Below are 24368 nucleotides of genomic sequence, written 5' to 3'. Positions count from 1 at the left end.
ACAACATAGGAAAACAGAAATCAGATGAGAAAGAATTTAGGCAGGACTAAGCAGAGGCTTACCTTCATTACTGGTTATCACTAGCACCTTAGTAAGAAGAAACTGGAAACTGTAGAGTAATTTCATAAACCTGGTAGAAGCAGTTGCAAGGATATAATTTTATGCCACATTTGCCTCTATAGTACTGTGAGTATGGTAGGATAAATTTCCTAACCCTCCTCACAACCAGTTCAAGAAACTTAACCTCCTCTTGGAGTATGTTGTATATCAAAGTTCAAATAAAAAGAAGGGGTTGTTTTATGGCAAATCACATTGAAGAACTGATAAAACATATTCTGTACAACAATACATACAAGATCTGATGGCAAGAGGGTGGTTACATTTCATGGGAAATGTTTGATTACCCTTTAGACAGTGTGCCTGAAGACCAGCCCATGTAGAACATATTTCTTTTCAATGCTCAGAATCTAAAGCTACTGGGCCCCTATCATTACCAAAATCCATGGTATAGAGGATGACTGACAAGACATGAGGCAAAGCCAAACAAAATAAGAAGGAGGGTGTTGGTGGAGGGTGACTGGGAACCAAGGTTGAGGGTTTTTGGATGAGGGAGGTGAGAACTCCAGACTCCTTGTGACGCTTTATCTTGATTGCAGAGTTAGCCATTTGGTGCACTTGAAATACCCAGGACTAACGTTCTTTGCTGTTGGAATAGTTTGCTACGGTTGCCATAACAAAGTACTACAGACTAGGTGGCTTAATCAACAAAATTTATTTTCTCACATTTCTGAAGAAGCGAGTCCAAAATCAAGGCACTGGCAAGTTGGTTTCTCCTAAGGTTTATCTCTCTGACTTTGCAGATGGCTGCCCTCTTGATGCCTCTTCACATAGTTGACCCTTTGTGCACTCACAGCCCTGGCATTTCTTCCTCTTCTCTGAAGGATGCTAGTCAGATTGGGTTAGGACCTCATTTTAACTTAATTACCTCTTTATAAACCTTATCTCCAAAATGCAGTTATATTCTGAAGTAATGAGGGTTCCGACGTCAACTTATGAATTTGGAGAGAGGGGACACAATTCAGCATACAAAATTGCCATGTATGGCATTCAAGAGACAAGTCGAATACTGTAGAGAAGATATGCCCAGATTCCAGAACACTCTCCAGGCATGGAGTTACATGTGGCTGGGGTTACAGGAGCACACACAAAATTGCCAGTCCTAAGTGTCAACTAATCTTTTGTTGTCTTCATGCAATTCTGAATTATACATCTTCCCAGATATTGTTACAGATATTTAGGTTGGTTGATTCTCATTTCAGTGTTACATCAAAAGGTGCACAGCCAAGAGGACGATATTGGATGATGAGCAGGCTCCTGTAGCGAAGACTGTCTTCATAAGCTTTATTTCTCTGAGTGGGCTATGCATTCACCTTTTTGATTTGGCATTGTGAAAGGCAAGACACTCTCTGGCTTTTGGTTGCAGCACTCTGTAAGGATGCTATTTGTGAAAATAGAAGCAAATTAAAAGGCTAGTAGTCTGCATGTCCCTCATTTTTAAACCTCTTACTGTTGTGAAAATCACATGAAGTAATGTCAGCAAACGTGATTTACAAAACTGTTAAGTGACATACACATGTGTATTATCACTTTGTAGTTATTTTGGCTCCAGTCGTGGGGCTCCTGGAGTTCCTCTAGTATTAGAATGAGTTATAAACCAATACTCTTATTGTCATCTCTAACTTCAGACTTAAAAGTCTTAATAGGAATAATAAGATATTAATCTTTTCACTTGAAAAAGCCATACTATATGTTTTATATGGGATGACGATAGAGTTCTGGAGAAACATCACTGCAGAAGCCACCAAGTTATTATGATTGCTTATGTTTTAGTCACACAAAATAGGCATGGAAAATGAAAAATTTGTGCCAAAAGGAATAACATGCCTTGGGGAGTTATTTCATGAGGCTAAAAGCATGAATAATGCAACAAGTCAGAAAGGCAAAATAATTTGTAGTTAATGGGAGGATGTTTGCAAAAGAGCTCCAGTGATGGGGAACTTGTCAGGAGGCTTCGTTGGGTGACAGAATTTCAAGAGAAGGGAAGAGATGTTCCACTGGCATTTTCTCTGGCTAAAACTCAGAGCTGGGCTAAGAAAAGATAAAGAGTGTTTGTAAGCACAGGAGAGTAAGATAGGCGGGGACAGGGGTATTGGAAAGGCCAGAGCAGCAGGTGGGCAATAGCCCTAGTGGCTCAGCAGGGCTAGAATCCAAGAGCATTCGGAATTCTTTACCCTTCTCTGGTGGGCCTCCCTTGTCCTAGATTTTCATGATGTTTTAGCAGTTGGTTCTCTGTATGTGAATACTTGGTTTTGTTTATATCTCCACTCCACTTTTATAATGTCAATTTTTCATTTTTATTTAAGAAGTATTCTATCTGCATTAAAGATGATAAAATACATAACAAGATACATGATAGTCTTTGCCTCACAGGGATCTGTTATTTAAATATGTGGTTTTCCTTCATAGTCATATCTTATACTCACATTTGTCATATGCCCTAACATCGAGGGATATCATTTATATGCCTAAAGATAGCAGTATCTTACTGAAAACTAGAACAAAACATGATGTCAGGGAAGAAAGTAAAGTAATATGTAGTTGTATAATAGATAACCCTTCAAATACATTTTTTTTTTTTTTAAACAGAGTCTTGCTCTGTCACCCAGGCTGGAGTGCAGTGGAGAGATCTCCATTCACTGTAAGCTCCGCCTCCTTGGTTCACACCTTTCTCCTGCCTCAGCCTCCCGAGTAGCTGGGAATACAGGAGGCCACCACCACACCCAGCTAATTTTTTTTTATTTTTAGTAGAGACCAGGTTTCACCATGTTAGCCAGGATGGTCTCGATCTCCTGACCTCGTGATCTGCCTACCTTGGCCTCCCAAAGTGCTGGGATTACAGGCGTGAGCCACCACACCCGGCCCCTTCAAATACATTTTAAACATATAAAATTATTGTATATTACCTATGACTGCATGCATATGTAAGTAGTGAAAGTATGTAAGACATGCGTAGGGACAATGTATGACTATTTCAGAAGAGTGGCCACATTTAGTAGAAGAAGCAGATGGTAGTGAGGCATTAGCCGTTTTTATAATGTTTCTGTTTTTGTTTTCTAAAGGGGCTTTAAACCATATGTAGCAAAGTATTAATATGTGTTTAGGTATTTTTGTACATGAGTACTTGCATTAACAGTAGTATATCCCATACTTTTCTACACGTTTGTTTTATCTAAATAAAAGTGAATTAAAAATTAAAGCCTTAACCCACTTTTTCTGCTAAAAGCTTCCTCATCAGGCAGAATCTCAAATCATTCACAGCTAATATTTACATTTAGTAGTTGAGAAATATTTTTCCATCTGGCATTGAGGTAAGGATGCTATTTTTAAGACAATACATTATTGTGTATTACTATTTTATAAAAGATAACACATATGCCATGAAGATAGTATGCAAGGGACTGAGAAACTTTGAAAGTGCCACAGTTTTCCTCTAAAACATTAAAATTGCACAAAAATTCTATAAATGAATTACTTCCCTTACAGAAAGGTATGTTGTCAAATAATTTTGAAAGTAGGATCAGAAAACTGGCTTCTAGCTCAGTTCTGCTAGTAATAGTTTAAGCATGGGCAAGGTGGTTAACTTTTCTGGTTCTTCACTTTATTTGTAAAATGAAGATATTCTTTCTAGCTCTGAGTCCTCTCAGTAGGTGGTAGAGTGGCGGAGTGTAAAGGAAGTAGGTTCAGAAGTCAGACTGGGGCATGTAAGAGCATTTACAGTCCCTATCTTACAGGGTGTTTATGAAAAATTTATAAAATAATAGAAACACGTCCTTAAAATAGTGCCTGGCAAATATAAAAGGGCTCAGCTTTTTTAATTGCTGTTTTAAAGTGTTGTGATTCAGTATACTCAGAACCATGCTAGGCTTGTGAAAGATTATAATACCAAATACATTGTTTTGGTTTATCACTTGTATATTTCCACTATTTTGTTACATCCCAGAATTGAAAGAGATACAATAAGTATAGTACATGAGATAATTACTAATCCATATAGTCTCTAAGAAGAGTGAGGTGGTGAGGTTCATCCTCAGTCTAGAAGAGGAGCTCAGGGATGAGACATGCCTGTGATGGGGCTTGGACTGAGTCTAAAAGGATTTAATGAGTAACGTGGAAAACTAGCTTAGTCTTAGTGGCCATTCTTACCTCAGTCTCTTCTCAGTTGTCAGTGCTAATTATTGCAATGAAATAACAAAGTCCTAAGTAATTTTTATCACTAACAAGGAGAGTTCTAGGTTATGGGAAGAATCTGACTTAATTCTTTACAACCTGGGGCATGGATTGATAATTTATTTCTTAAGCAGGAAGTTTATGTGCCAAAATTTGCATGCCTCTACTTAAAAGCATGAACTCTATTTCTTTCTAAAACTCAAATACTCTTTCCAAACAAGCTGTTTGTAATCTTCTTTGCCAGGCATCTCTCTGCACGCTCATCACTTTTCTCTTGCCCAATGAGGCAGTGCACTTGGTTTTGTGCTTCTTAGATTGAACCAGGAGGAGAATTCAGCTGTCACCAACAAAGAGGAAGTCAGCCTTGAGCAGAGGGTTACGTCACTGTCTAGAATTGTCAATGCCTTCCCCCTAGAGGAAAGGCAGCTTCTCTTAGAGAGCTAACCATTAAATTAGATCCTTTTAGAAATCAGGCTCTGGAAGAGTTTATTCAGAGTCTCTGGCTAACTAGGCAATGTGGTGAACTGCAATAAGCAAAGTTTCCCAGGCAGGTGGATCTAGGTTGGCTCTTCCTCCTTCAAGCTACTGAGATTATTGTGGCAAATTACTTACCTTCCCTGAGACTATTTTCTTATTTGTAAAATTGGAATAAAAATGAACCTACCTTATTGGGCTATTGCAAGGATTAACATGATAGTTCATGTATAGTATTTAGGAAACTAACCAATAAAATGAAAGTTACTTACGTGTGTGTTGCACATAATTTGGTATATCTATATTAGTTCCCATCCCTTTGCCCTTTCTTCTCTTTCCGAAAAGTAAATCAGTGTTTCAAAATAGTAGTATTGATGTTTTATATTTATTCTCTAGAAAGTATAAAGAGAAAATTCAATATAATCTCAAATATATTGAGATAGTGACTCTTCAAATTCAGTATAATCTTAAACAGTAGATATAAAACTCAAAATTCTATTTGATCAAGAGAGAGAAGACTACTATAAAGAGAATAGAATGGCACACAGTTTTCTTTTATATCAAGCCAGCTGTTTAGGTAGGTAATGGTGTTTGTTTCCCCAGTCCACATTGTTACCCACGTTAATTAACATTTTGTTTCTGTGAGGATCCCAACATGCCTTTGCTGATACCCTTGAACGTGACCTCCTAACATCTAAGGTTTTGTTGTGTTTCGTTTTGTAGTTGTGCATATTTCTCATGTTGTTTGATGTAAAAGGATTTTGAATGGAGATGGTACTTAATGAGTTAAGTGATCTCAGAAATCTGATTCAGAATCCAAATTGAGGTTTTTTTTTTCCTTTTTGGTCCCATACTAATCATTTTGTTCACCTGAGCTGACTCTCTAGTCACAAACTAATCAAGTCTTTGAAACGCTTTCATTTCCTCTTTTATGCTGTCTTTCACAAGGAAGCAGGAACAGAGTACTAGTTTTGACAGAAAGGAGCCACTGCTGCTTTTTACATCATGGTCCTCTGTGTATTCCCAGTGTGACACTGCTCTCAGAAGAGATGGCTAGAAAGCAGCTCCTGTGAGAGTGGCCCTGAATATCAGGTAACTTTTCCAGTGCTGAGGCATTTCTAGAACTCAGGTATTTTCTTCTGTTACCCTTGTGTGGATTAAAACACAGAATATTCAGACCCCTCCTGGAAATGACCATGATGAAACCATAGATAGCTAAGGAGAGCAAGGACATAATTGTGTGCTCTATAGTGTATTGATACCAGGTAAATCTAATGAGAAGAGATTCCATAAGTGATTCTCATTTTACCAATGTTTTCTTTTCTGTATATCTAGCTACCTTAATCATAGTAATGATAAAAGTTCATTAAACACTATATGCTAGGCATTTCTACTGTCTTAACATTCATAGTACCTACCTATGAGGTGTAGGTACTATAATCATATGCACTTTATCTATGAGGGCACTGAAGCACAGAGAAGTAAATAGATTATAGTCATACAGCTTGTAAGTCTAAGTGGTAGGCCCTGGAATCTAACTTGAGTCTTTGGACTGTAACTCCAGCAGAACCAGATTTGGAGAATGTACTTGCAAAAGGCTGCAATTTGTCCAAAGCTGCTGCTGCTTCCAAATGTCATTTGGATTGTGTGAACAAGATAGTTTTGAAAAGGGAGCTCCCCACTGAGATACAGGCTTTCTTTAGAATAGCCTTGCCTCAGCTCCAATTACTTTAGTGTTTAGCACATGCAGTGAGGCTCCTAACTCTCTCTCAATCTCAGATGGCTGTAGGGATTATTAGACAAGGCATATGTGATATTAGGCTGCTATCTGAGGACCTATTATAAAAAGATTATTTTCTAAATTTATTATAAATTTTCTCTGGCATGTACTAGATATGTTTGTTATTTTAATGCCCAGCTGTTTTTTTCAAGGATTCATTCTTTTTGGAAGATAAATAGCAAGGTGCAACAGAGAGTACATATTTTCACTTTTTCAATGTGCATACTTCATTATGTATATAAAAAGATAGACAACATGTTTTGGTGCTAAAAAAGAATTACAAGAAGAACCTGAAATCACAGAAATATGCTGTGTGTAACCAAGTCAATATAGAAATGAAAAAGTATGAATCAGAAATACTTAGAGGAAACTCATTTTTCACCTTTCCTTGGTAATACTCAGTAAAGGAAAGGGCTTTTCTAGGTATAGCTCAGAAGGAAATGAAAAGGGTTTTTTTAGAGAGAGCTCAGAAGGAAACAAGCAGTGATATCATTCATTCCATGAGGAAAACTCTAGTTAATGGTAACAAGAAAGTGACCCTTCGTCATTGAGAACATTTTCTACTTTTCTTGTGACACAATACAAGACACCGTGTGTATTTTTTTTTTTTTTTTTTTTTACAGAAATGTGAATGAATGAAAACAAATGTCCCTTTCCTCAGATCCTATATGGGAACTATGCTGGGGCACTTAATGTTCTACTGGGCTTACCATTTCTTTCAGTGAAGTTAATGATCATGCATCTTTACAACAACATGGATTAACAGAGCACCTGGAAAGTCCCTATTTCCTGGTTTCTGTGACTCAATAAACTTATAGATATTTTCACATCATAAAGCATCTATGCTTTATGCTTCATCTAAGACCTTAGAATATACCTTAAACAAACTGTAACTTCTATCATATATGGAGACCTGCATCTATCACTGTCTTTGAAAACAAGTATCATGAATTGTTACACCCGAGGGTAAAAACCCATGAATGTGGGATGTGGCATTAATGGACAAGGAATAGAGCAATAAGCAAGAGCAAAATAACAGAGCCTCTTATATTTTATACTAAGGAGTTTCAGCTTCAACAATGAGGTGTGGGATGCCACTGAAGTGTTTTAGAAAAGGCAGCATTATCATCAGACTTTTATTTTAGAGATATCACTTTCATGTCACTGTGAAAATGTTACTGTAAATGACTAAGAAAATCATATTTATATTATATATTACATTAGCTGACAGCATTTGATTTAAAGCTGGACTAGTGGAAGGGGGTTGTATTTAACCCTTTTTTATAATATATCTTCTGATATTCATATCTAAAAGGAAAAAAAAACCCAAATGAGCTACAACTCAAACGTGATAATAATAGACTATATCCTACAAATGACACAGAGAAAAGAATCACTAATACTCTGTATGGACTCTTCAGATTTCCAAAGTCCTCTAGTGTATGTATTTTTGGCATCTGTCATATAGCAGTGAAGCCTGGAGACAGGTCCTGAGTGCCCTCTATGATGTAAAGCATACTAATTTAGAAAGAATCCAAAAAGTTATATATATAGAAAGTTGAGTAATAAATATTGGAAATGCCAATTACAGATTTTTAAAAAATATTATTATTACAATACATAGTTACCATTATCTCAACTTTGAAGTGATAAAAAGAGGTGTCAAAAAGGATAGATGGCAAACTTAGTAGGTATTCAACAAAGATAAATATACAAATAAATCTTCCCCTCAAGTTATGTAAGGATTGGATCACAAGCATTGAGCTGTTACCTTAACACTGGTCAAAGACTGCAACTCTGAGTATATTAAATTGCCTTCTTTAAGAAACAGAATAAAAACTCTGAAAAATATTCTTCCATGCTGTGATGAACATGACAATAATAATAATAACAATGACAATGATGGTGATAATGGTGGTGATGATTTAGTTTTCCTCACTGGTAATTGTGTTTTCTGCTATTGACATATCCTAAACAATAAAGTGTAGGAGGAGCTAAGTATAGGAAGTTTGATTCCAATCTGCTATTTAGGAATTAAGTGAAATCATTCAATTTCTTCATTTAACTTTACTAATTAGGAAACAAGCTCAGACAAGGTGAAACACCACTTAATTGGACACAGAGTTTCAAAGCATCTTGCTTTATACACTTCATAATTCACACATAATTCTCATATATTGAATGTCCCTTAAAATATCTGGCCTTTGGGGCTCAGTCCCCAAATCAATAGGCACAGTAAGGGGGAACAAGACAGAAGTGGTTCAGTACCACCAAAATTTGTTCCCAGGTTGACGGCTTCCTTGGCTCTGCTTGGCAGCTATATATGAACATCCTGAAGTAGGAAGAAATCACTTCTCTTCAGAAGGGCAAGGATAGCCTTCACCAATCAATTCTTATTTCTCCTCTGCCACCAGAGGCTGAAAAGGTCCTAGGTAAAAACACCTAGAACTTAGCTCTGTGCCATGTGTCTTTGTGTGTTTCTTTGCTTGATCAGAATCTGGCTAGTTATAATTTAATCTAATCAAATGCCATATAAGTTTATCATTTGATCTCTCCATGGTACCAGTGTCCTGTGAAAATGTTCTAGGCATAGATTTTGTGAGACTGGTGTAAAAAATCGGACACAGATATATCTATTTTTGCCCTTTGGATGTATTTTTTTAGTCTGCTCATTTTCCACCCCAAATGGAGCTTTCCTTTTGGTTTAGAATGGTCTCTTTGCCTGACTAGGAAAAGCCTTCCAAAAATACCAAGGTAATTAAAAAGTATGAGTTATGATCTAAAAATCATATAAATTTGTAGGATGTGTCTAGGATTCTGCTAAAAATGGCACAAAGGAAAACTTTGTGGCCATCCATGGTATCCATCTGAGAGCAATTCTTGTAGAAAATGTCCCCTTATTGAATACGGCCAATATTGTAAGTTGCAAAATACAAGTATTATACATATTGTGAGAATGAAAGCTCAATATATTTTCTTAGGAACATAGTTTCACAAAATGAACAAATGGTGTGTATAGAATCAGCTTGTCCGGATGAGACCAGGAAAGCTGAATCAGCTTCATTCGAAACCATCAACATCTATGACCTTGGAACAAATCAATAGAATCTATTCAGCTTGTCTTTGGGAAATAGAGTTAATTCAACTTCTAATTCGAGTGAATTAATATCTATTGATTCCTCACAATGTGCCTGAGATACAAGTGGTTAACTTTCTTGTCCTCCAGTAGCCCACTGGCTAGACTAGAGATCAGTTTGTACATATTGAAATATAATCCAAAGTTGGGATATGACCATTGCACAAAACGTTAAAGGGAAATAGGTGATGACTGAAGGGTAAAGAAAGCTGGGGAAAGAGGAGGACTTCACAGAGGAGGTGAAATTTAAGTTAGATAATTAAGGAAGAATGCCCCTTTCCTCTCTTCTTAAAAATTGCTCAAGAGTCCTGTAAAATCACATATATTTTCTTCCTAACTGATCAAATACTTCAATTTTCTAGCATGTGAACTAAGTCTATTGGTAGAGAATAATGAGCTAAATTGACTTTATAAAATGTAACCATCCTGTCTTGCATATATTTGTGAAGACTAGAGTTGGAAGTAGACGTTCTCATTTGTCAAATGGAGAATTCGAATCAAAGATTTAATTAGATGAAAAATTAGAAGAAAATTGGCACTTCTGTTTCTTTCTGTCTCTAGAAAAATCTCACTATTTTGCTTGGAAATTTTTGTTTCAAAACAAAGCAAATTAACTAAAAACCAAAAAAAGCTAGCATCATATAGATTCCTTAAAGGATTATAAATTTGTATATAGAAGGATCATTAGACTGATTCTGTTTGGTTTCGTATTACAGAATAGGACCAATGATTCGTTGCCTGGGTTTTGGCTCGATAAAGGCAAACTTCTAAAAATAAGAGTGACTCAAAATTCAAATAGAATGACTTGGGAAGTAATGAACTATTAGTTTTCATAAGAAGAATGGTCACCACCATTCCAAGTTAAGCTCAGAGTTGTTACAGTCAAACATAAATTTTCTCTAGCAGTATTTTGGATTGACTCGAATAGTCAAAGCAAGAGGCAAGAGAAGCAAGAAAGTTCCACACTGTCGAGTAGGAGTGAGATGACTTTGGATCAAACATTAAAAATAAAATGAGAAGCTAAGAGGGAAAAAGAGCAGCAAATACTAATTCTCCCTCTCTGAACCATTTGGGAACGTTCTTTGTCCTCGTGATATATAAATAAGACAGGTTGAAAAGAAAACTGACAAATACTTTTTTTTTTATTACAAATTAAGAACCATCTGTACAGCCAAAAGGCTTAAACAATACAAAGTGTTCTATCATGGACTAGATGAAATGAGATATATAAAGAGTTAGGTGTGTATGCAGATTTGTCAAATAAATATAAAGGTACATTTTAAATGTCCTTTTAAAACATTAAGTCTAGGTATGGATTAACCTATTCAGTGCTTTAATTATAATTTTGCTTGACATCTCAAGACTAACTGCAGCTCAACACAGAGACAAGCAGAGAAGCTGAACTTTAATTCCAGCCAGATAATTCTGAATATCATTTTTCAAGCCAAGGAAAATGCAATGCTGAGTTGGATTTTTCTACTAATAGGAATTGATTTGATATTAACTGAAATTGGATGACTCCTAAGTTTCTTTCTATCAACCAAAAGGAAAAATATGACTATAATTTCTAATATACTTTCCCAGTCAAGGGACAAAGGGCAAAGAGCACTTGTAACATTGGGAATATTATTTTCTGGTATGTCTGGTGACCCTAGGGGTTAGAACTCCTTGTATTTCATCACAGGACTTTGATAGCATTTGTTTGGCTATCACCTTCTCTCTCTCTCTCTCTTTCTCTCTCAGCTTCAGGAACAATAGAATTGGTGGCAGAAGGAGAAGAGGCTTTATGAGCTTGGCTACATTTCAGTTCTAAATATTTGGTTGTTAGGGATAACCGAAGCTTCCTGGTACCTTTGCCAAAATGACTCTCTTCTGCCTCTCACACTGCTAACTTCTGTCCTTGCATCATATTTACTTGCCAAGGGCCGTCAGCACTGTTGCCCTAAGATTTTACTCTCTTAACAGTCTTTTCTAGAGAAATATATCTTCATCTTGACATGACTCCAGGTGGTAATCATTTTCATACTTGTATCTTCACTATTAACGATCACAATTGGCTTTAGAATGGAGTTGTCGTCTATTTCTTGCTTAGTGTGGTGCCCTACAGATAGCTGTTCCTCAATGAATATGTTGATTGTCAGGAGACATGATGTAAGTTTGGTAGAAATTTGATAAAAGTATTGTTTTCTCAAACTGATCTCATTTCTCTTTTCTATTTTTTGTGTGAATCACTACATAGGTCAGTCAGAGATGTCATGGACATAATAATTTGATTTTAATAAAGTTTCATGTGATAACCTTAAAAATCAGAGAAACCTAAGCTCAGTGATAGTGTGGTTAAGTAGATTGATAACTGGTTGAACAGTTAGACTCTCAGTCTCTTGATCGGTGGCTCAAAGGAGGGCTATTTTTGTGGGGAGAATTCAGGAATGCCATTCTGGAACTTCTCTATCTGAGTTACATAAGTCAGAACAGCATCCTATAGGCTTGTATCATCATTAAAAAGCACACAAAAATATACCATTAAAATATAAAATTTAAAAATTTAATCTCTTCAAACAGACTTTATATCTTCATTTCTTTATAAGAAATAAAGGGAATCATTTTATAAGATAGTTTCTTAAAAAGTCAGTGTGGAACTTCTCATTCTTGGGTCACATGTTGGTCAACCTATTTCACAGATACTACTGGGAAAATAATGAAGAGATGACTGCAGCAGTGAAATTTTAAATTCAGTTTTTATTAATTTGGGACATTATAATAGCTAAATGGTAACCCAGGCTCAGCTCATGGGTCTTGTTATATAGTGAAGTGGCTACTGAAAAAGGTTTCCAGTCAGAAAAAACTAATTTATGCTTTCCTTTCAGTATGGTCCTTTCCTTTCATTGTCTTATTCCTCTTAGACAATTAAGTCAAACTATTCTATAAAAAAAACTAGCTATATTAATATCCATGAGAAAAGTAATTATCTCTGGGGAAGGTGGTAACAGGAAAGGCAGAAAAGGTGGTGCCATATGCAGTGCTGAGAATGTTCTGGACCTTGGTTTGGGTAAATGGGTTTATATATAAATAAGAAAATTTGAGTAGTTTATTTGTGTACTTCATTGTATTTGTTTCTCACTTTTAAATGGAAGAATAGCATGATTACAGGCATTAGGCAGGAGTAAGCAAATAAGCAGACATTATAAATTTGATTATAATGGATGGAATTATATGGAAGGTAAGAAGAAGAAAGAGTTGAGAACATTGTTTTATCCTAAGTTCTTAAAACCATAAATGTCATGATGAAGAAATGAAATTTTATTCCTTAGGTCTAAGACAATTGTTGTGGATTCTACTGTTTTTGTTTTGTTTGTTTTTCTGAGACAGTCTCACTCTTTTGCCCAGGCTGGAGTGCAGTGGCACAATCTCAGCCTCTGCCTCCAGGGTTCAAGCGATTCTACTGTCTCAGCCTCCCAAGTAGCTGAGATTACAGGCACACACCACCATACCTGGCTAATTTTTGCATTTTTAGTAGAGATGTGGTTTCGCCACATAAGCCAGGCTAGTCTCAAACTCTTGACCTCAAGTGATCCACCCGCCTTGGCGTCTCAAAGTTGTTGGATTACAGGGGTGAGCCTAGGGCATTCTACTCTTAGCACTTAATCTTGAACTTCACTGGAGTGAACTGATGACTATGGGAGCTGGTTGGGGATCCTCTGGAAAGCAAACTGTGACTCCTGTGGAAGAAAACACTTTAACAGGTCATGATTCCTGGGTGGAGGCTCAGAATCATTCACCTCCATCCCATTCTAGATAAAACTGGATTAAAGAGTATGCTTTGAGAGGCTTGATGATCTTTGGTTTGAAAATGAGCTACATCAAAGAATCAGAGGCCTGGAGGAGAACAGGGAGGACAGTATACAGAGGTGACTTCTGAGCAAGTTCTTTGGAATATGGCAGAGTAAATCCAGGGTTATCTTCAAGAATGACCTTTCTGCATAGGATGGCTTCCTCACATCCTCCTCTACGAGCCCATGTATTTGTTTCTCTAGGACAGGACCAGCACATAGTAGGTATTTAATAAAAGTTTTTTGAACGAATGAAGATTATCCCCTTCACAATAACATTTTTGCAAACGAATTATTTTTGTTTTTTACTGGACAGATTGTTAAAAAATTGTGACCACTCTTAGTTAATATATTGTACTTCTTTCATCACCTAAATATGCCTTCCATGAGACATGTACCGATTTATTAATGAGTGTGTTGGGGTGTGTGTATGTAAGAAATACTTCATTAAATGTATACATAGCCATAAGCTGCATTCCAAGTGCAAAAATACTAAAAATGGAAAAATAATGCATATAAGATGAGGAAATAAACATGCACAAGTCCACTTCTCCCATCATTTCTTCAAGATTTACATAAAACATTTATGACACACTCACCTTTCTTTATCTCACATCTCCAACAGCTTCCAGAACCAGCCGTTATTCCTGCAAACTCTATGGGCATATCCAGTAGATTAAAATCCGAGGGGGAAAAAACGGTCACCACACACTTGCTCTGCACAATTTACAGAAAATAGAATGTAGTCCCAGATCTTACACCTTTAAAAAAAAAAACAACTAAAATTGGGAAAGAAAGAAAACCTTGGAAGTCCCCTCCTCTAAGATTTCATTCTTGGCAAGATAATTTCATGATTATTTTCATTTGCTTGAATGTTGTGTTTTGCTGCACACGCACTTCCAGTAAAACCTCTCAAAACATAAACAGTCAGTGTTGACTTCACCTTACTTGTCCTTACACAGAGTTCTCACTGTGAATTTATCCTTCTCTGTTTATGCTGGAGGCTTGTCTATTGTTTATTCACCTAGCTTATTCAGGGCCATAGGTGTTTATTCTGAGAATTAATAGTTATATTTACTATAATAATATAATCATGTAATTGCCTTAGCCTTTTGTGTTGCTATAACAGAATATGTGAAACTGGATAATTTATAAGGAACAGAAATTTACTTCTCTCAGGCTGGAAACTTCAAGATGAAGATACTGGCATTTGGTGAAGTCTCCTTGCTGTATACTCATGTAACAGAAGGCGGAAGGGTAAAAAGGGACAAACTCTGTGTCCTCACATGGCAGAAGAGCAGAAGAGAGTGAACCTACCCCCTAAGGTTTTTGTTTGTTTGTTTTGTTTTGTTTTTGTAGCAGCATTAATCCATTCATGAGAGCTCCACCTACACACACCTAGCCAAAGGCCCCACTTTCAACACTGTTGCATTAGGGATTAGGTTTTCAACATGTAAATTCTGGAGCACACAGTCAAACCATAGCAATAATTATATAATATATGTGTAATTATATAAACAGCTTTACAATTTTTAAAGAATCTTCATACATTATTTTTTAATGTGGGCAGGACAGCTGTTATTAATTTTATTTTAAAGGTGATTAAATTGAGACATGCATTGAATAAACACTTGTCCAAGGTCACACAGCTACTGAATGCCAGCTGAGGAACTAGAATTGAGGTACACAAAAGCTTTGACAAGTGCTTGAGCAAATCTTCCTACTCTTCCTTATGGTTTTATCTATTCCTTTCCTTTTTTTAATCCCACAAATAACACACTAATTTTCACTAGACCATTTTTTATCCTCTATTTATGTTAGAGCTTAATTTAATGCTTTATTCCTTTATTTATACTTGATTTTTAAAGGAACCATATCATTATATAAGACAAATATCATGGTAGCACACACCTGTCATCCCAGCTACTTGGAAGGCTGAGGTGGAAGAATCCCTTGAGCCCAAGAGGCGGAGGTTAAAGTGAGCTGAGATTGCGCCACTGTACTCCTGGCTGGGTGACAGAGTGAAACCCTGTCTCAAAACAGCAACAACAAACAAACAAAAAAGAAAATACAAATGTATCTGACTGCCCCTATATTTTTTTTAGAGATAGTGTCTGGCAGTAATGCAGGGGCATGATCATAGTTCACCATAACCTGGAACTCCTGGGCTGAAGTGATCCTCCTGCATCACCCTCCTGAGTAGCTGGCACTACAAGTGAACACCACCACATCCGGCTAAGATTTTTATTTTTTATTTTGTGGAGATGGGGTCTTGTTATGTTGTCCAGGCTGGTCTTGAACTCCTGACCTCAAGTGATTCTCCCTCCTTGGCCTTCCAAAGTACTGGGATTTCAGGTGTGACCCACTATGCCCGGCCTTAACTGTCCTCTATAATGATGAATATCTCGTAACATAACATGAATTTTAGCAAACAATTCTGTTCTTTCCCTCTATCTCTGCCTTCCCCTCTCCTTCTAGCATCCCACTTCCATTTTTTCTCTCCAGTAGCTCCCAACTGCTTTAAAAGATACGGTATAAAAAATGTGACAATGGCACTTCCATTTCCCTTCTGTCACTGAATTTCTGTCACTCATGTGTGAGCACTTAGAGGCTGTTCTCAAAATTACCCTTCAATTCCTTTTCACATATTCTTTGTTTACAATGCAGTTCATAATTTGTTGCTCATAGGAGCCTTCTGGATAATGCCAGCCTATAACTAGGCCATGCTTGCTTGAGTGCAAAAGCCAAGGATTTGCTCTTTGGGTTCTCACTGTTCTCCCACAGTGGTCTGAACCTGTTTGGCTTCTATTGTTTTCTATGGTGGACGGTATCATCCAGTTACACAAGTCACAGAGATACGGTTAATAACTCTCTGTACTCTCTCTTCATATCCAAGCCATTACCAATTCCAGTCACTTTTTCCTCCTAAATATCTCTTGAATCAGGCCACCTTTCTTTGTCAACACAACAGCACCCTTATTCACCCTTATCGTCTTCTCTGCTAAGATGTCTGCAGTGGTTATCTAACCCATTTCATTATTTCCACTCTCTCACTGCCTCCAATGATCACGTCATTCTCTGTGCTCCCTCAATAAAACTATTTCAATATTTCTCTTTGCTTCTGAGATAAAGATCCCTAATTTATCTTGTCCCACCCATGGTTTGAGCCAGTCAGGCCTGTCTGAAATCACTTCCCCTCCCCAGCCTTCTGTTTTGCTCCTCACAGTCCAGTCCCGCTGATTTCTTTGAGTTACTCAAACAGGCCTGCTCCTTTCCTATCCATATGCTATTTCTTCTGCCACCCAGCTAACTCTGGCTCTTTCTTCTGATCTCAGTTCAAACACCACTTTTTCATATAAATCTTCTCTGACTTCTCTGAGATGTCAGTTCCTGCCCCCACCCCCATAGTAGCATGCACTTTGGTGGGTGGGGGTGCGGACCGATACTTTTAAAAGTAAACCTCCCACAGTAGTGAGTGCCCCATGCACTTTGGGCACTCACCACTGGTAGGTATACTTTTATTTAGCAAATGGTTGGGCTAGGTGCTGAAAGGAGGCAGTCGACACTGGGTCCGTAACTCATTCTTTCGTATTTGAGAATACCTGAAGTGTTTTTCTTTTAACTCCAAACAGACCTCCTTGTAAATATTGACCGTTGAAATGTATTAGCTCCCAATGACTGACCTAGGAATGCTTTTTTATTATTATTATTATCCTTTAAGTTTTAGGGTACATGTGCATAACGTGCAGGTTACATATGTATACATGTGCCATGTTGGTGTGCTGCACCCATCAACTTGTCATTTAACATTAGGTGTATCTCCTAATGCTATTCCTCCACCCTCCCCCCACCCCACAACAAGCCCCAGTGTGTGATGTTCCCCTTCCCGCGTCCAGGTGTTCTCATCGTTCAATTCCCACTTATGAGTGAGAACATGTGGTGTTTGGTTTTTTGTCCTTGCGATAGTTTGCTGAGAATGATGGTTTCCAGCTTCATCCATGTCCCTACAAAGGACATGAACTCATCCTTTTTTTATGGCAGCATAGTATCCCATGGTGTATATGTGCCACATTTTCTTCATTCAGTCTATCATTGTTGGACATTTGGGTTGGTTCCAAGTCTTTGCTATTGTGAATAGTGCCGCAATAAACATACGTGTGCATGTGTCTTTATAGCAGCATGATTTAAAATCCTTTGGGTATATACCCAGTAGTGGGATTGCTGGGTCAAATGGTATTTCTAGTTCAAGATCCCTGAGGAATCGCCACACTGCCTTCCACAATGGTTGAACTAGTTTACAGTCCCACCAACAGTGTAAAAGTGTTCCTATTTCTCCACATCCTCTCCAGCACCTGTTGTTTCCTGACTTTTTAATGATTGCCATTCTAACTGGTGTGAGCTGGTATCTCATTGTGGTTTTGATTTGCATTTCGCTGATGGCCAGTGATGATGAGCATTTTTTCATATGTTTTTTGGCTGCATAAATGTCTTCTTTTCAGAAGTGTCTGTTCATATCCTTCACCCACTTTTTGATGGGGCTGTTTGTTTTTTTTCTTGTAGATTTGTTTGAGTTCATTGTAGATTCTGGATATTAGCCCTTTGTCAGATGAGTAGATTGCAAAAATTTTCTCCCATTCTGTAGGTTGCTTGTTCACTCTGATGGTAGTTTCTTTGGCTGTGCAGAAGCTGTTTAGTTTAATTAGATCCCATTTGTCAATTTTGGCTTTTGTTGCCATTGCTTTTGGTGTTTTAGACATGAAGTCGTTGCCCATGCCTATGTCCTGAATGATATTGCCTAGGTTTTCTTCTAGGGTTTTTATGGTTTTAGGTCTAACATTTAGGTCTTTAATCCAGGAATGCTTTTAGCAGAATGTACTTGATCTTTCTGGCCTGATTGCTGTAAGTATATCTGTAGTTTATAGATTTATAAACTATAGCTGTGCTGATGAATGCAAGTCCATCACCTGACTAGAGCTATACTGTGTGATGATGATGCATGAACAGAAAGAGCACATCACTCAGAGGCTCCTCTATGCTCACTCTAGCCATGCAGAGTGAGCACCACCCACTCCAGAACCAAATCACATCACAGTGCTGCAAACAGGAGGTTGCATCTGATGGGTTCAGGTATGCCAGATAGTGCTGTGGTATATACCATTGATGTTCCTTTCTTATTACCTTTGCTAATGACCTGTAAAGCTTGATGCTGGATAATATTTGCATTTCATCTGAGTCTGAAAACTCAGGCTTTTGTCGTTATGGAGGTGGAATAGCTCTATTTCTTCTTCATTGTCTCATGAGCTTTATGAAAGCTCTATTTTGTCTGACAGTTATTTTCCTGTTTACTGGCCCAGTATTTAACACATAGTGCATAATAAATATTTGTGTGGTAGAGATCACTAGAGCTAATCACGTCTAATTGTTTTCTTCCTGAATACATAGAAAAACTATCCAGTACCTCATGCAGTTAAGCTGGGGCCTTGCCATTAATTTTAACAGCGGATTTTGAGAGGAAGTAACATCTATAACTTCAGGGTAAAGGCAGTTAAGATTAGATGTAAATTATCCACATTATTTTTCCATTTTTTAGAAAATACTGAAACTTAATGTTAAGATGATTGCATGGAAAGATGGCAGAGTTTCTGTCATTTCTGGATTCTTGACTAATGTGTAGAATGCAATGCTCCTCCTATCCAGGGTGGATATACAGCATGAGTCAGAAAGCCCAGTTGATTAGTGAAGGTTCTGATCTTGTTGAGGTTAAATTGTTACTGAGGTATAACGTAGCCTATGCTGCCTAATACTTGAATGAGCATTAGGCAGGCAAGACTATCTATAAAAACCTTCAGAGCACACTTGCCTTCTTCTCTTCCCTTGATTCTTCTTTTCTTTCTCTTCCTTCTTAAAATAAGAATTAGTAAACGAGGTATGAGAGAGAGAGAGCATGGTGTCAAGTGGCACTGCACCAACAACTGACCTGCCTTAAATTGAAGTGACTGTGAATTAAACTGGTGTCATAATTTATTGAGCAGAGCATATTACGGGCCAGGCCCTCTGTTAGGAATTTGAGATTCAATCATGAAGAATGCGTTTTCTACTCTCTAAGTGCTCATATATTCAACTAAGAATAGTAGAAAAATCAGTAAGATATAAGAAAGAGATAAGGCAGAAAGGAGCATTAGTTATGATTTGTGGAAGGGGATTGGAAAATGACTTCACAGACTGGGTGACATTCAAACTAGATCTTTGAGAGGATGAAGAATTACACCAAATGCAGGAGAGAGGGCCCATTGTGGACAATTTCCCATGCCATAAATATTCATGGTGTGTTTGGACAGAGAATTTAGTACTTGTGAATTGGTAGCTGGGGTGAGAATTGGAAAGAGAGTATAGTAGGACAGCTTCCCATTTCCTATTCCCCACCTTCAATTCTTGCTGTCATGTTTTTCTTTTTAGCTTGAGACAAAACTACAGTGCTTTCAAATGGTTTTCATAATATATCTCAATAGGTTTTTGCATGAAAATTATAAGCAGGATAACCACATTTATCAAATAACAAAGGGAAGGAGAATTTACAGATAACCAACCAATTCTACCACCTATTTTATACCCAGTGGGTTCTCTTTACTTCTAACTTTTAGTTCAATGATCCACATATGGACTCTGCACCTCTCCACTCTCAGCTGTGCTCACTGTATATCTAGCTAGCCACTGCCATCTTTGCATTTTTAAGCTCTCTTCTCTACTCACATTTCAGTTCTTTTGCTGCTGTTTTTCTTTCATTGTAGTTCTTTATTATAAAGGTCAGACTTTCCAGGTTAACTACTCAGTGGCAGTTCCTCACATTTCTATACAATTTCATCATCAAGTGCTAAAGGGAAATCTGGATCATCTGGCCTTGAGGAAAAGTTAAATCAGAGTAGAAGCTGTTCACTTATAAGTAAAAAAATACATTGTATGCTCCTAGTCTGTCTCCTTACAGGATATTCAACCACATTTTCTTTTGTGCTTCTCAAAAAAATTTGGAATGTATAAAACTATCTCAGCTGGGTGCAGTGGCTCACGCCTCTAATCCCAGCACTTTGGGGGGCTGAGGCAGGCAGATCACGAGGTCAAGAGATCGATACCATCCTGGACAACATGGTGAAACCCCATTTCTACTAAAAATACAAAAATTAGCCAGGCATGGTGGCGCACGCCTGTAGTCCCAGCTACTCAGGAGGCTGAGGCAGGAGAATTGTTTGAACCCAAGAGGTGGAGGTTATAGTGAGCTGAGATTGTGCCACAGCACTCCAGCCTGGTGACAGAGTGAGACTCCATCTCAAAAAAAAAACAAAAAAATTATCTCAACAATTTGGTAAAAATGACTATTCAAATAAATTCCCTCAAGAATTCTGATTTATTAAGTTTGTGTGAAGTCTAAGGATTTGCATTTTATTTTATTTTTTGATGAAGCTGATTTTTATTTTCAACATTTAATGCAATCTTGAAAAATGACAATACACCTTGCCATTTTCTCTTACTCATCTTTTTTCTCAAGCAAAATATTAGATTTCTCTCAGATTTTATTCTCTCAAAACTTTTAAAAATTATATCTTTAAATGACAAGTAATTGTATATATTTATGTGATATAATGTAATTTCTTGATATATGTTTATAATGTGGAATGATTACATCAGGCTAACAAATTCATCGCCTCATATACTTGCCATTTTTGTTGTGAAACATTTAAAATCTTTTTGCAATTATGAAATAACAACGCATTATTATTTACTATAGTCATTATTCTCTACAATAGATTACTAAATTTAATTTCTCCTGTCTAAATGAAACCTTGTACTCCGGTCAGCCTCTCCTCTTTCTTCATCCACCCTTCTTCCCCAGCCAGTTGTAATCATCATTCTACTCTCCTCTTGTATATGTTCAACTATTTTAGATTCCACATATAAGTGAGATCATGCTACATTTGTCTTTCTGTGCCTGGCTTATTTTACTTAGCACAGTGTCCTCCAGGTTTATCCATGCTGTTGCAAATAACGGGATTCCCACCCCTTCTTTTTTAAACTGGTTGAGTAGTATTCCCTTTTGTATATATATCACATTTTCTTTATCCATTCATCTCATGATAGACACTTAGGTTGCTTCCATATCTTAGCTACTGTGAATAATACTGCAATGAACATGGGAGTGTAGATATTTCTTTGTTATACTGATTTCAATTATTTTGGATATATATATTCAGAAGTCATTTTACTAGATCATATGGTAATTCTAATTTTAGTTTTCTGAGGAACCTCCATACTATTTGCAAATGGCTGTATTAATTTACATTCCCACAAACAGTACACAAGGGTTCTCTTTTCTCCATACCCTTGCCAGTGATATCTCTATGTGGTTTTAATTTGCATTTCCCTAATGATCAGTGATGATGGGGATGTTTTCATATACCTGTTGGCATTTATATATCTTTTTTTGAGAATTATGTATTTATGTTTTTTGCCCATTTTTGATTGTATTATTTGTTTTCTTGTTACCGAGTTGTCTTAGTTTTTCATATATTTTGGATATTAGCCTCTTATTAGATTACGGTTTGCAAATATTTTCTTTTAATCCATGGGATGTCTTTTTACTATATTAATTGTTTTCCTTTGCTGTGCAGAGCTTTTTAGTTTGATATGATACAATTTGTTTATTTTTGCTATTAATTACTCTGATTTTGGGGTAATATCTAAGAAATATTTGCCCAGACCAATGTCATGGAGAATTTCTCTTATGCTTTCTTTTGGTAGATTCATAGTTTCAGGTCCCACTTAATCATAGTAAAAATGACGTTTTTAATGTGTTGTTGAATTCAGTTTATTAGCATTTTTGCATTTATGTTCATCAGTAATACTGGCCCATAAATCTTTTTTCTTATAGTATTCTTTTTCTCCCTTTCCTCCTCTAGATACTCACATCATTTGTATATTTGCATATTTCATGCTGTCCCCTAGATTCCTCATGCCTTCTTTGTTCTTTCTCAACCATTTTTTTCTTTTTCTTCCTCTCATTGGCTAATTTTGAATGACCTGTCTGAGTTCACTAATCCTTTCTTCTGCATAATTGAGTGTGCTGTTAAAACTCTCTTGAAAATTTCAGTTCTCTCATTGTATTCTTAAGCTTTAAGATTTTCATTTGATTATTTAAGGTTTTTAATTCTCCATGAAACTCCTCATTTTGTTTATGCATTGTTTTTCTAATTCCATTTAGTTTCTGTCTGTAATTTCTTACATCTTATTAAGCTACATTAAGATGATTATTATGAACTCTTTTTCAGGCAATTTGTCTATCTCCATTTCTTTGTTGTTGGTTATTGGAACTTAATGAGTTTCCCTTGGTGTTGTCATGTTTGCCTCATTCTTTGTTATCTATGTAGTCTTGCATTGGTGTCTGTGCATTTGAAGGTGAAAAGCCCTCTTTCAGTCTTATATACTGGTTTTGACAATTTAAAATATTTTCCTGTTAGGTCTCTGGGCTGATGGGATTGCCGCTGAGATCACAGTTGAATGGAGGTAGATCAGGGTCACTTGCCTGATAGTAGGTTCATAGTGGAGACCACAGTTGGTGGGCCTATTTCCAGTGGCTGTAGTGGCTGTGGATTCTTTCTGGTTCCTAGGCGAACTGGATTGTGCCCAGGAACTCAGTCTGTGGGGCTGGTGCTGAGATGAAGGACTGCCTGTGAGTTCACAGTCAGCAGGCCTGTCACCAGGTTACATTTATGTATCATGTGCTGATGAGTGTGGCTTCCTCTAGGTCTCTAGGAGGACTCCTGTTGGATCACTCTATGGGTCTTTGGGATAGTTGTATTGCTCAAGTCTGTGGTAGAGATGGGCTGTAACTGAGACACCTGGTTGTTTCAAGTCTATAGTCAAGACACATCTTCAAGCCTGTCTCTGGGGTCATGGATAGGCATGTCTTCTGGTGGATTTCTTTTTTTTTTTTTCTATTCCTTTTTTATCTTCATCAGCTTTATTAATGTTAAGAGCAGAAGAGCAGCTTAAACGTTTTGGTTTGATATGTCTTTTCTAAACACAAAATGAATGTAAAAACATCCTGGGTGGGGACCAAATGACACAAGCCAAAAACACAAGCCAAAGAAGGAAGATGAGCAAATCTCCTCGTCAAAGTGAATCAGAAGGCATCTGCTTTTTCCCTCCCAATGCTGTGGCTTCGCGGAGGTGGTTCTTTTGCAATTAATCATCATTTCTCTTTCCCCTTCTCCCATCCCAAAGAGCAAAATCAGAAACATAAATTAAGTCTCAACTTAGAAATTAGGAAAAACACTGTAGAAGCTATTTTTTAAATATTTAAAAAATATTTCCTCGGAGGAGGCTTCCAAAGGGAGAAACTCACTTAGAACATAGGTAATGGGAGCATTTCCTTTTGAGAGTTTTTGTTTATTCATTTTACTCCTGACAAAGTTAAGATTTCTCTGTGTGATCTTATTTTTTATAATTTTTATTTATTTTTCTAAGTCTGATTTTTATTTTTATCTTAAGTTCCATGGTACATGTGCAGGATGTGCAGGTTTGTTACATAGGTAAATATGTGCCATGGTGGTTTGCTGGCCTATTAGCCCATCAACTAGGTATTAAGCCCCACATGCATTAGCTCTTTTCCCTAATCCTCCCTGCCACCACCTTTCCTTTTTATGGCTGCATACTATTCCATGGTGTATATGTACCATATTTTCTTTAAACAGTCTATCATTGATGGGCATTTGGGTTGATTCTATGTCTTTGCTATTGTGAATAGTACTGCAATGTACATAGGTGTTCATGTAACTTTATAATGGAATTATTTGTATTCCTTTTATACCCA

The 24368-nt window shown here is 37.0% G+C and overlaps 2 long non-coding RNA genes across 2 annotated transcripts in view, besides 1 other annotated feature; one reads left to right on the top strand and one right to left on the bottom strand.

Moving 5' to 3' along the window:
* The window catches only part of MACC1-OT1 (MACC1 3' UTR overlapping transcript 1), a 221446-nt gene that overhangs the window by 21122 nt on the left and 175956 nt on the right, over window positions 1-24368 (top strand). The gene's annotated exons all lie outside the window — the stretch shown is intronic.
* On the bottom strand, window positions 750-15445 carry LOC105375181 (uncharacterized). Its single transcript, NR_187885.1, has 4 exons — window positions 15419-15445; window positions 14107-14268; window positions 5034-5153; window positions 750-1498 (listed from the first exon to the last, which is right to left on the bottom strand). It is a non-coding gene; the product is annotated as an uncharacterized LOC105375181 (long non-coding RNA).
* Window positions 1953-2479: an enhancer, noted in NCBI's record as "NANOG hESC enhancer chr7:20156449-20156975 (GRCh37/hg19 assembly coordinates)". NCBI's record gives its function as "activates a minimal SCP1, AML or CMV promoter by ChIP-STARR-seq in naive H9 embryonic stem cells {active_cell/tissue: H9 hESC(naive)}" and the evidence as "EXISTENCE:reporter gene assay evidence [ECO:0000049][PMID:30033119]".

This window comes from Homo sapiens, chromosome 7, assembly GCF_000001405.40.
Source record: "Homo sapiens chromosome 7, GRCh38.p14 Primary Assembly".
NCBI lineage: Eukaryota > Metazoa > Chordata > Mammalia > Primates > Hominidae > Homo > Homo sapiens.
This window is presented reverse-complemented; position numbering and strand designations above follow the sequence as displayed.